At 46.3% G+C, this 12,579-nt stretch overlaps 1 protein-coding gene and 1 pseudogene across 5 annotated transcripts in view, besides 2 other annotated features; both read left to right on the forward strand.

The window, feature by feature from the left end:
- Window positions 1-11,205, forward strand: part of TMC5 (transmembrane channel like 5) — an 88,575-nt gene extending 77,370 nt beyond the window's left edge. For 4 of the 5 annotated variants that reach the window (NM_001308161.1, NM_001105248.1, NM_001261841.2 and 1 more), the window contains 5 exons: window positions 2,487-2,660; window positions 4,242-4,320; window positions 6,354-6,458; window positions 9,213-9,255; window positions 10,012-11,205. In NM_001308161.1, the coding sequence (NP_001295090.1) occupies window positions 2,487-2,660; window positions 4,242-4,320; window positions 6,354-6,458; window positions 9,213-9,255; window positions 10,012-10,058 (448 nt within the window). In that variant the 3' untranslated portion in view covers window positions 10,059-11,205. The remainder of the gene's footprint in view (window positions 1-2,486; window positions 2,661-4,241; window positions 4,321-6,353; window positions 6,459-9,212; window positions 9,256-10,011) is intronic. The other variant, NM_001105249.1, reaches the window with a different exon arrangement.
- Window positions 100-788: an enhancer, noted in NCBI's record as "H3K27ac-H3K4me1 hESC enhancer chr16:19499330-19500018 (GRCh37/hg19 assembly coordinates)". NCBI's record gives its function as "activates a minimal SCP1, AML or CMV promoter by ChIP-STARR-seq in naive H9 embryonic stem cells {active_cell/tissue: H9 hESC(naive)}" and the evidence as "EXISTENCE:reporter gene assay evidence [ECO:0000049][PMID:30033119]".
- Window positions 8,602-8,813: a silencer, noted in NCBI's record as "fragment chr16:19507832-19508043 (GRCh37/hg19 assembly coordinates)". NCBI's record gives its function as "represses an EF-1alpha promoter that drives an FKBP-Casp9 reporter gene in an ReSE screen in K562 erythroleukemia cells {active_cell/tissue: K562}" and the evidence as "EXISTENCE:reporter gene assay evidence [ECO:0000049][PMID:32094911]".
- RNU4-46P (RNA, U4 small nuclear 46, pseudogene) lies at window positions 10,702-10,842 on the forward strand (annotated as a pseudogene).
- Window positions 11,206-12,579: the final 1,374 nt, after the last annotated feature.

Here is a 12,579-nt window from a genome sequence, read left to right on the forward strand (position 1 = left end):
GGAAACGGGCTAGAGGCTTTATTGTGGTTTTCTATGGTAAGGAATGGGCAAGGCAGGGGAAGCAGGTTTAGGGTTGGCTGGTTTGTCAGTAGGCTGTGGGATATGGATCCGCCCTGAGTTGTCTGGCACCTGGCCCTGGGGTGATTAGGGCAGGGGAGTGGTGGCCCAGAGTGTGAGAGCCTGATAAAGGGGGCGGTTGCGGGTGTGGGATCTGGATTGGTTGGTTTGCATTTGAAAGGTGTGCTTTGTAAGCTAGCCCAGGGAAGGGCAGCTAGCCCTGGGAGCTGGAGTCAGTAAGACCCCAGATGTCAAAACATCAGAATAAAAAGACATGCTTAATACAGTGCCTAACTCAAGTTCCCTGGCTAACCAACAGACACTAAAAGCCAGGGAGGGAATGCATCCTAGTTTGATCACCACCCATCCGATGCCCACGGTCAGGAGTAGCTTTCTCACTTCTGCCAAGAACTGAAGCTTCCCAGAATGGGGAGATGCCCCCCCACCCCGTTCCTCCACATCCAGAACAGAACTTCATCTAAATTAACAGAAAGGCAGGACTCATCTGGCTCCTCCCACCTCTCCAACCCCACTTCCCTTTGGCTCCACTGTTCCCCGCCCCACCACCCTCACCCCATTCCTGGAAGCCAGCAAGCCCCTCCCAACAAGGGCAGAGTCCTCTGAGTGAAGTCCTTTTCCCACTCCCTTTGCTTGGCTGCCTCCTCTCCACCCTCTGATTCTCAGCTCCAAGGCCCTCTCCAAGATCTGATCTTCACAGCCCTCCTTGTCTGCTCTCAGTTCCCCACTGCTTCTCTCTCTCAGACCTGAGTTTCTTTCCTTCATTCTATCATTCATAATCAGGAATGCCTCTGTGTGAGTCTTTAATTGTTACTCAACGATTGTCCGTTTTTCCCACCAGAATGTAATCCCAATAGGGCAGGAACTTGCTTAATATGAAGTCCCCAGAGCCTGACTAGAACAGTGCTTAACAGAATAAGCCATGGTTGAATGAACAATTGAATGAATTAATGAACAAGGGAGATGATTTTTAGGACACATGTGAAACTGGGGCTCTCAGTTCCTTGCTCCACAACACCCTTGCTCCTCTTGGCATATCCACTCTCTTCTCTCTCTTCCTTGCTCCACAACGCCCTTGCTCCTCTTGGCATATCCACTCTCTTCTCTCTCTTCCTCACCAGTTCCTTGTTGCCCTATAGTTTCTGCTCATTCCTCCATAGCTAACAGGCTTCCCTCTTTATGCTTCTTAATTCAATTTCTTTCTTTGAGACAGGGCCTTGCTCTGCCACCCAGGCAGGAATGCAGGGGCGCAATCACAGCTCAAACTCCTGGGCTCACGTGATTGTCCCACCTCAGCCTCCCGAGTAGCTGGGACTATAGGCACACATCACCATGCCTGGCTAATTATTTTTTTATTTTTTATTTTTTTGAGACAGAGTCTCACTCTGTCATCCAGGCTGGAGTGCAGTGGCGCAATCTCGGCTCACTGCAAGCTCCGCCTCCCAGGTTCACGCCCTTCTCCTGCCTCAGCCTCCTGAGTAGCTGGGACTACAGGCGCCCGCCACCACGCCCAGCTAATTTTTTGTATTTTTAGTAGAGACAGGGTTTCACCGTGTTAGCCAGGATGGTCTTGATCTCCTGACCTTGTGATCCACCCGCCTCGGCCTCCCAAAGTGCTGGGATTACAGGCATGAGCCACCGCGCCTGGCATGCCTGGCTAATTTTTTTTTTTTTTTTTTTTTTAGAAATGGGTGTCTTGCTATGTTGCCTAGGCTGGTCTCGAACTCTTGGCCTCAAGAGATCCTTCTGCCTTGGCCTCTCAAAGTGCTGGAATTGCAGGCGAGCCACCATACTTGTCTTTAATTTCATTTCTTTTTTTTTTTCAGACAGGGTCTTGCTCTGTTGCCCAGGCTGAAGTACAGTGGTGTGATCACAGCTCACTATAGCCTCAACCTCCTGGGCTCAAGTGATCCTCCCACCTCAGCCTCCTATGTAGCCAGGACCACAGGCATGTGCTGCCATGCCCAGCTAATTATTTTTTTGTAGAGATGGAGTCTCACTATGTTGCCCAGGCTGGTCTTGAACTTCTGGGCTCAAGCAATCCTCCCACCTTGACCTCCCAAACTGTTGGGATTAGAGGCATGAGCCATAGTGCCTGGCCTTAATTCAACTTCTTAAGAAAAAAAGTCTGACTGCCCCCATTCATATCATTGAGCCAAGTTACTGCAGAAGTCACTGCTTGGCCTTTGGATTGGCTGCTGTTGGGTCAGCTCTGATCTGAGAGCAGGTCCTTAGAGTACAGGTCACCCCAGCAAGGCTGAGAGCAAGAGGGTTTCTTTGGGAAGTGGGTGTGATTGGATCAGGCAAGACTTGATGTTTTCAGGCCCAGAGCCCAGAAGGGACACCCTGATTCTAGAATAACCATCCCTGAGTCTTGTGCTAGAGATGTTCTTCCATCTTTGTTTTACCAGATTGAAGCCTTCAGCTGACTGTGGCCCTTTTCGAGGTCTGCCTCTCTTCATTCACTCCATCTACAGCTGGATCGACACCCTAAGTACACGGCCTGGCTACCTGTGGGTTGTTTGGATCTATCGGAACCTCATTGGAAGTGTGCACTTCTTTTTCATCCTCACCCTCATTGTGCTGTGAGTGTGGTACCCGGGGAATCTAGCAGGGAAAGCCAGGAGCTCTCGAGGGAAACAGCAGTAGGGATGTTTGGTTGGAAAGCAAATGGCTATAGCATAGCTCAGTGTTCTGGGTGACTCTACCCTTGCATAGGTAGTTTTCTTTCCTTCCTTCCTTCCTTCCTTCCTTCCTTCCTTCCTTCCTTCCTTCCTTCCCTTCCTTTTTTTCTTTTCTCTTCTCTTCCCTTCCCCTCCCTCCCTCTCTTTCTCCCTTTCTCCCTTCCCTTTCCTTTCAGTTCCGTTCCTTTCCTCTTCATTTTTTCTTCCTTCCTTCCTTCCTTCTTTCTCCCTTCCCCTCCCTTCCCTTCCCCTTCTTTCTCCCTTCCCCTCCCTTCCCTTCCTTTCCCCTTCCCCTCCCTTCCCTTCCCTTCCCCTTCTCCTTCCTTCCTTCCTTCCTTACTTCTCTCTTTCTTTTTTGGTTGAGACAGGGTCATGATCTCTCACTCAGGCTAGACTGTAGCGGCATGGTCATGGCTTGCTGCAACCTCAACCTTTCAGGCTCAAGCCATCCTCCCACCTCAGCCCCCAAGTAGCTGGGCTTGCAGGTGTGCACCACTACACTTGGCTAATTTTTAAATTTTTTGGAGAAATGGGGTCTCCCTGTGTTGCCCAGGCTGGTCTCAAACTCCTGGCCTCAAATTATCCTCCTGCCTCAGCTTCTCAAAGTGTTGGGATTACAGGTGTTAGCCACCTTGCCCAAGCTTGCATTGATAGTTTTTTTGAAGTTACTTAGCCTGGTGCAGTGGCTTGTGCCTGTAGTCTGAGCTTCTTGGGAAGCTGAGATGGGAGGATTGCTTGAGCCTAGGAGTTTGAGGCTGCAGTGTTCTCTGATCGTGCCACTGCACTCCAGCCTGGGCAACAGAGCAAGACCCCATCACTGGGGGAAGGGGGGAAAGGTTATATATACTATCTTCTTGTCTTAGGGATTTTTTTTTTTTTTTTTTTTGAGACAGAGTCTCGCACTGTCACCCAGGCTGGAGTGCACTGGCGCGATCTCAGCACACTGCAAGTTCCGCCTCCTGGGTTCATGCCATTCTCCTGCCTCAGCCTCCCGAGTAGTTGGGACTACAGGCACCCACCACCACGCCCAGCTAATTTTTTGCATTTTTAATAGAGACAGGGTTTCACTGTGTTAGCCAGGATGATCTCGATCTCCTGACCTCAAGTGATCCGCCCGCCTTGGCCTCCCAAAGTGCTGGGATTCCAGGCATGAGCCACCGTGCTGGGTCATCTTAGGGACTTTTTTTTTAACTTATTCTATTAAGAAAGCAATACCTGCTTTTCTCCTCTTAAGGAGATGACATGCCCAGAGATGCTCAATTAATTGGTCTGAAGAGGAGCTGTGGCATGGGCTTATTTCCCCCTTCAGGAACCATTGTTCCAATGTATTTAACCTATAACTCTCCCTGACATGACTTTTCAGAAACATGTTTGGGCCAAATCCATCTGCAAGCACAGATTCCAGTTCCTTTGCATCCAGTGGAAATTCAGAGCCTGCAAAACATTTGCAAGAGTGTCATTCTTTCTTTTCTCCTCTTCCAGAATCATCACCTATCTTTACTGGCAGATCACAGAGGGAAGGAAGATTATGATAAGGCTGCTCCATGAGCAGATCATTAATGTAAGTCCCCTTGGATCCCTCTGATGTCCGCCCTCACCCTTTTTAAACGCTGTATAAACATCCTCCAAAATAAAGAGAATACTACAATGAACTCTCATATCCCTGCTCTCAGCCCTAACAACCATCAATGTTTTTATATTCTTATTTCATCTACACTTTCTCTTCCCAGCAAATCCCTTATTTTTATTCTTAGTATTTATTTATTTTAATTATGATGATTATTATTATTATTTTGAGATAGAGTTTTGCTCTTGTTGCCCAGGCTGGAGTGCAGTGGTGCAATCTCGGCTCACGGCAACTTCTGCCTCCAGGGTTCAAGCGATTCTCCTGCCCCAACCTCCCAAGTAGCTGGAATTACAGGTGCCTGCCACCATGCCCAGCTAATTTTTGAATTTTTAGTGGAGACAGGGTTTCACCATGTTGGCCAGGCTGGTCTCGAACTGCTGACCTCAGGTGATCCACCTGCCTCCCAAAGTGCTGGGATTACAGCCATCACACCCAGCCTTATTTTATTTTTTTAGAGGTGGGGGTCTTGCTATGTTGCCCTGGCTGGATTCAAATTCCTGGGCTCCTGCCTCAGCCTCCGGAGTAGCTGAGATTACAGGCAGGTGCCACTCCATCTGGCTCCCTGGATTATTTTAAAGCAAATCTTAGGCTTTATATTATTTTTTATTTATTAAAACTTAGATATATATATATATATATCTCTCTATAAGATAAATACTTTTATTTCATTTATTTATTTATTTTGAGACAGAGTTTCACTCTTGTTGCCCAGGTTGGAGTGCAGTGGAGCAATCTTGGCTCACTGCAACCTCCGCCTCCCGGGTTCAAGCAATTCTTCTGCCTCAGCTTCCCGCATAGCTGGAATTACAGGCGCCTGCCACCACACCCGGCTAATTTTGTATTTTTAGTAGAGATGGGGTTTCTCCATGTTGGTCAGGCTGGTCTCAAACTTCCGACCTCAGGTGATCCGCCCGCCTCGGCCTCCCAAAGTGCTAAGATTACAGGTGTGAGCCATCGCCCCCAGCTGAGATAAAGACTTTTAAAAATAACTACAATATCATCATCACACTTAAAAAACTTAACAATAATTTATTATTATCATCTTATATCCAATGTTTACATTTCCCCAACTGTCCCCTTAAGTGTCTTTTTATACTAGAACTGCACAAATCAGGATCTGAAAAGGGGGTACATGTTGCATTTGGTTAATGTCTCTCTCTCTCTCTCTCTCTTTTTTTTTTTTTGAGACAGAATCTCACTGTGTCTCCCAGGCTGGAACGCAGTGGCATGATTTTGGCTCACTGCAACTTCTGCCTCCTGGGTTCAAGTGATTCTCCTGCCTCAGCCTCCTGAGTAGCTGGGATTACAGGTGTGTGCCACCACGCCCAGCTAATTTTTGTATTTTTAGTAGAGACGGGGTTTCACCATGTTGACTAGGCTGGTCTCAAACTCCTGACCTCAAGTGATCCACCTGCCTTGGCCTCCCAAAGTGCTGGGATTACAGGCGTGAGCCACTGCGCCCAGCCAATATGCCTAACTTTCTTTTACTCTATAACCATTTACCACTTCCCCTCCCCACTTCCTCTTTTCTTTTTATTGTTAAAGAATGCAGGTCATCTGTTTCATATTTTCCATATCCTACATATATCTTTTTTTTTTGTTTTGACATGGAGTCTTGCTCTGGGGCACGTGCCTATGGGGGATACTGGAAACCATTTTTCCTGGGTATTGAGACGTGGCATGTAAGTTGCTTCCAGCAGCCGACTTCTGGAGGCTACTTTCTCAAGCCTGTTAGGGGAATTGCTTTAGAGGAGAATATTACAGTGCAGGAAGGCTCTGGGGGATAATTTGGTTTTACTGTGAAATGTTTCTTTTCTTTCACCAAAAGATGGCAGTAACCTCCATCCAACTTCTAGGATCCTAGCTGCCTGAAAACCGACGTTCTTCCCATCAATTGCTTTCTCAATTCCATACCATCATTCATTCATATTTTTGTTTCTTTCTGGTTTTGTTTTCCTTCTTGGTAGGAGGGCAAAGATAAAATGTTCCTGATAGAAAAATTGATCAAGCTGCAGGATATGGAGAAGAAAGCAAACCCCAGCTCACTTGTTCTGGAAAGGAGAGAGGTGGAGGTGAGTCTGGAGGCTGCCTTGGGGACCCCTGGGACACGAGCTTGCCTCCATGTAAAAAGCGCGTCAGAGAACTACAGACCAAGCTCTTGGGATCATGGAAGGGCCCTTCACTCTCTGTCTTAAGTATTTCTGTGGTTTTTACTTAAAAAGTAATATTCATGGCCAGGTGCAGTGGCTCACGCCTGTAATCCCAGCACTTTGGGAGGCCTACGCGGGTGGATCAAGAGGTCAGGAGTTTGAGACCAGCCTGGCCAATATGGTGAAACCCTGTCTCTACTAAAAATACAAAAGTTAGCTGGGTGTGGTGGCACGCACCTGTAGCCCCAGCTACTTGGGAGGCTGAGGCAGAAGAATTGCTTGAACCCAGGAGGTGGAGGTTGCGGTGAGCCAAAATCATGCCACTGCACTCCAGCCTAGGTGACAGAGTGGCACTCTGTCTCAAAAAAAAGTAATATTCATTTTTTCAGCACTTTTCATGCCTGTACTTTTTCTAGGTGCTGGGGTTACGGTGAACAAAACAAAGCCCCCGCCCTCATGGAACTTGCACGCTTGTTTTTCACAACCCCGATAATACAGAAGTAGATCCCACTGAGATGAAAAGGGCCCTGAAATCTCATCTCACTATGAATACTTCAGTGTCTATTCTTTTTTTTTTTTTTTTTTTTTGAGACGGAGTCTCGCTCTGTCGCCCAGGCTGGAGTGCAGTGGCGGGATCTCGGCGCACTGCAAGCTCCGCCTCCCGGGTTCACGCCATTCTCCTGCCTCAGCCTCCCAAGTAGCTGGGACTACAGGCGCCCGCCACTACGCCCGGCTAATTTTTTGTATTTTTAGTAGAGACGGGGTTTCACCGTTTTAGCCGGGATGGTCTCGATCTCCTGACCTCGTGATCCGCCCGCCTCGGCCTCCCAAAGTGCTGGGATTACAGGCGTGAGCCACCGCGCCCGGCCTACTTCAGTGTCTATTCTTGCAAATCTATTTCCCTAGGCATCTGCAAACATACCTGTATCTACCAACACTTTAATTTACTTGTTTATTACAAAAGTGAGGCTATATTATACAAATAGTATCATAACTTCCCTCCCCCGCAGCCCACCACTAAATACTATATCTTGAACGATGTTTAATTCTGTACATATTTGGATATTTGGGTTGTTTCTATGTTTTTAAATACTTAAAACAGTAGGTAATGAAACATTTTGTTACAATTATTTTTTGTGCGTTTATAATCGCAGCTACTCAGGAGGCTGAGGTGGGAGGGGAGGACTGCTTGAGGCCAGGAGTTTAAGACCAACATAGCGAGACCCCATCCCTTAAAAAATTTTAATAATTAGGCACGGTGGCATGCAACTGTAGCCTCAGCTACTCAGGAAGCTGAGGTGAGAGGACTGCTCAAACCCAGGAGTTTGAGGCTACAGTGAGCTATGATCCCATCACCGCACTCCAGCTTGGGAGACAGAACAAGACCCTCTCTCTAAAAAAAATTACCCTGGGCACAGTGGCTCCCTCCTGTGATCCCCAGCACTTTGGGAGGCCGAGGCGGGCTTATCACTTGAGGTCAGGGGTTCGAGACCAGCCCAGCAAACATGGTGAAACCCATCTCTAGTAAAAATATAAAAAACAAAAACAAACAAACAAGAAAACTTAGCTGGGTGTTGTGGTGCACATCTGTAATCCCAGCTACTTGGGAGGCTGAAGCACAGGAAATCACTTGGACCCAGGAGGTGGAGATTGCAGTGAGCCAAGGTCACACCATTGCACTCCAGCCTGGGCAACAGTGCAAGACTCCGTGTCAAAAAAAAAAAAAAATTAAAAAGTTATTTTTTGTGAATATTTCTGCCACAAAGCACGTACATGACAATGTTAATAGATATTGCTATATCATTCCCTTAAAAAGATTTAATCAATTTCATTCTTACCAAGAGAATATAAAGATACATGAAACCCTGCTCTAATTCCAAAGCCTTGCTTGCTTCCTGAGTGTCCTGAAAATACAGATGAACAGTAAATCCACCTTAACGCAAATACCACTTATGTTGGAAATTGTGATCTTGACAGAAGTGACTGACAAGTAATTTACCATCTGTGCAAATTTATACTGTCAGCACAATTTAGGTAAGGGATCTAGAGGCCTAAAGGTAGATTCTCTGAAGGTGAGGACCACGTCTGTGCACTTGTCACCCCACGTCCTAATTTATTACCTGGCATAATATGAATGCTCAGTGAATATCTGTGGAACGGCCAGGTGCGGTGGCTCACGCCTGTAATCCCAGCACTTTGGGAGGCCGAGGTGGACAGATCACTTGAGGTCAGGAGTTTGAGACCGGCCTGACCAACATGGTGAAACCCTGTCTCTACTAAAAATAAAAAAAAAAAATTAGCTGGGCGTGGTGGCAGGCACCTATAATCCCAGCTACTCCAGAGGCTGAGGCGGGAAAATCGCTGGAACCCGAGAGGCGGAGGTTGCAGTGAGCCGAGATCATGCCATTCCACTCCAGTCTAGGAGATAAAGCAAGACTCTGTCAAAAAAAAAAAAAAAAAAAAAAAAAAGAGTATCTGTGGAATGAATGAATGGAATCACTCTCCCTAAAAAACAAAACATGTTCAATATTTCTATGGCGGAGACTTGGCCTTAATCTCTCATCCCTTAACTTCTATAAAATGGTGAGGGGCTCACAAATTGTGCCAAATATGTGACAAGACCCAGAATCTGCATTCTTCCTCCGTGACGTGGCTGCTTGTTTTTTTCTTTTTCAGCAACAAGGCTTTTTGCATTTGGGGGAACATGATGGCAGTCTTGGTGAGTAATTAAACTGGGACAGAATAAGACACTAATTTATTTCTGGTGAAATATCCTAAGACAAGTGTAAGAATTGCTCATGTGTCCATTACTTTTTCAGTTGCAAATTGGATCCAAACTGGCTTAAACAAAATTCCAAGAATAATTCTTGCTTTAGGCCTTGCCTAACGCAGGAACTCACAGTGTCACCAGAACCCGGTTTCTTTCAGTTCCGTTCTTACCCATGTTAGTTCCTTTTGCAATAGACTCTGCCTAATAAGTGCAAGACAGCTTTATCAACTTCTTATATCTTCTCAGAGTCAGTCTGGTGGGAAAGACTGAGGGACCCAGGATTCTCACGGTGTTTCATAGGATCTGACTGGGTGATGTCCCCGTCTATGAACCAATTGTTGTGGGTGCAAAAATGTGGCAGTTCCCTTGATCACATGATTTCATCTGTAGATGCAGGTGGTGCAACCATGAAGACCATAGGGACCAAGAGTAGGGAAGGGTGACTTCCTAAAGAAAATCTGGGGCTGATGCCAGGAGAGCGAATTCTGGGCAGGAAACAAACAAGCAAACCCATTTATTTTTGGGGGATAGCATTTACTGATGACTTCCAGTGATGGGAGTTCAAGGGAAGGATTATAGAAACTAAAAGGAAGAGGCAAAGAAGGCATGAGAAGCTATGGAATCTTGAAGGCAAGCTGGTCTTTCCCTTGTAGAGATGGGGCAGAGTGTGCCTGCGTTAACTTCTCTTTCCTGTGTCAAACCTAGACTTGCGATCTAGAAGATCAGTTCAAGAAGGTAATCCAAGGGCCTGATGACTCTTTTGGTAACCAGACACCAATCAAATAAGGGGAGGAGACGAAAATGGAATGATTTCTTCCATGCCACCTGTGCCTTTAGGAACTGCCCAGAAGAAAATCCAAGGCTTTAGCCAGGAGCGGAAACTGACTACCATGTAATTATCAAAGTAAAATTGGGCATTCCATGCTATTTTTAATACCTGGATTGCTGATTTTTCAAGACAAAATACTTGGGGTTTTCCAATAAAGATTGTTGTAATATTGAAATGAGCCTACAAAAACCTAGGAAGAGATAACTAGGGAATAATGTATATTATCTTCAAGAAGTGTGTGCAGGAATGATTGGTTCTTAGAAATCTCTCCTGCCAGACTTCCCAGACCTGGCAAAGGTTTAGAAACTGTTGCTAAGAAAAGTGGTCCATCCTGAATAAACATGTAATACTCCAGCAGGGATATGAAGCCTCTGAATTGTAGAACCTGCATTTATTTGTGACTTTGAACTAAAGACATCCCCCATGTCCCAAAGGTGGAATACAACCAGAGGTCTCATCTCTGAACTTTCTTGCGTACTGATTACATGAGTCTTTGGAGTCGGGGATGGAGGAGGTTCTGCCCCTGTGAGGTGTTATACATGACCATCAAAGTCCTACGTCAAGCTAGCTTTGCAGTGGCAGTACCGTAGCCAATGAGATTTATCCGAGACGCGATTATTGCTAATTGGAAATTTTCCCAATACCCCACCGTGATGACTTGAAATATAATCAGCGCTGGCAATTTTTGACAGTCTCTACGGAGACTGAATAAGAAAAAAGAAAAGAAAAGAAATTAGCTGGGTGCGATGGCTTATGCCTGTAATCCCGGCACTTTGGGAGGCTGAGGCAAGCGGATCACTTAATGTCAGGAGTTCAAGACCAGCCTGGCCAACATGGTGAAACCCCGTCTCTACTAAAAATAAAAAAACTAGCTGGGCGTGGTGGTACATGCCTATAATCCCAGCTACTCGGGAGGCTGAGGCAGGAGAATTGCTTGAACCTGGGAGGCAGAGGTTGCAGTGAGGCGAGATTGTACCACTGCATTCCAGCCTGGGCAACAGTGAGACTCTGCCTCAAAAAAATAAATAAATAAATAAATAAAGTAAATTAAAAGTCTTATTCAAACCAAATATGAAACTGGTGGTGATGTGTGGAATGTGTGTGTGTGTGCACATATGTAATGAATACGTGTGTGTATAATGTTTTTGCAGGTTTGCCAAATGATTCACAAGCCACGTGGCTGTTCTTAACACTGAAAGGTCCAGCAGAAAGGTGCAGTTACTCAGGAGAGAGGAGCCTCCTCTTAAGTAATCACTCGCATAAAACCTAATTGGAACTGAATTTAGAAAGCAGTTAAGATACATTCGAAACACAAGCACCCAACCAGTGCTGTCATTTATTCCCTTTTTTTTTTATTTTTAAGAGATAAGGCTGGGCTGTGTTGCCAGCTTTGACTCAAACTCCTAGGTCAAGCAGTCCTCCCACTTCAGCCTGCCAAGTAGCTGGGACTACAGGCACACGCCACTGCACTTGACCACGCACTTTTTCATTCACTTATTTTTTTCATTAATTCACTTCATCGGAGGAATTAATTTCTTTTGGTGTCATCTTTGGTAACAGTTGTATGTAGTGTTCATCCATCCATTCATTCAACAAATATGGACCAAATAGTGGTGAGCAAGATGGTGAACAATTCATGGTGCTGCCTGTCTAGCAGGTTTAGACATGAATTTAATTCTTAAGCAATAATTAATTACAGTTGTAGTAGATGCTCTGAAGAAGCACAGGGACTAAGGGAGACTTGTCTGTGGGGTCAGTGCAGGCAACCCATGGAAGTGATGTTGGAAGTGATTTTATTCCCCTTGGGGTCATCTTAGTGCTGTTTGTGCTTTTTTCTTTGCTTTTTTTTGAGATGGAGTTGGAGCCTCCCTCTGTCTCCCAGGCTGGAGTGCAGTGGTACAATCTCAGCTCACTGCAACCTCCCCCTCCTGGGTTCAAGTGATTCTCCTGCCTCAGCCTCCCGAGTAGCTGCGATTACGGGAGCGTGCCACCAGGTCCGGCTAATTTTTGTATTTTTAGTAGAGACGGGGTTTCACCATGTTGGCTGGGCTGGTGTTGAACTCCTGACCTCAGATGATCCGCTCGCTTCAGCCTCCCAAAGTGTTGGGATTACAGGCGTGAGCCACCATGCCCGGCTGCTGCTTGGGCTTCTACAATGAAATCTGAACTCTCTCTGAAAGCATCACTTCTGCTCATTCACCAGATGCTAAGTGCTTCCATCTAGAATGCTTCTCCCTTCACCTCCATCCCTTGTCTCCACTTCAGTGCAGCCCTGCTTCTCCTGGAGGTGTACATGCAGTGGATAGTGGCTCATGCCTGTAATCCCCGCACTTTGGGAGGCTGAGGTGGGCGGATCACCTGAGGTCAGGAGTTCGAGACCAGCCCAGCCAACATGGTAAGACCTTATCTCTACTAAAAATACAAAAATTAGCCGGGCGTGGTGG

This window comes from Homo sapiens, chromosome 16 (assembly GCF_000001405.40).
Source record: "Homo sapiens chromosome 16, GRCh38.p14 Primary Assembly".
Lineage (NCBI taxonomy): Eukaryota > Metazoa > Chordata > Mammalia > Primates > Hominidae > Homo > Homo sapiens.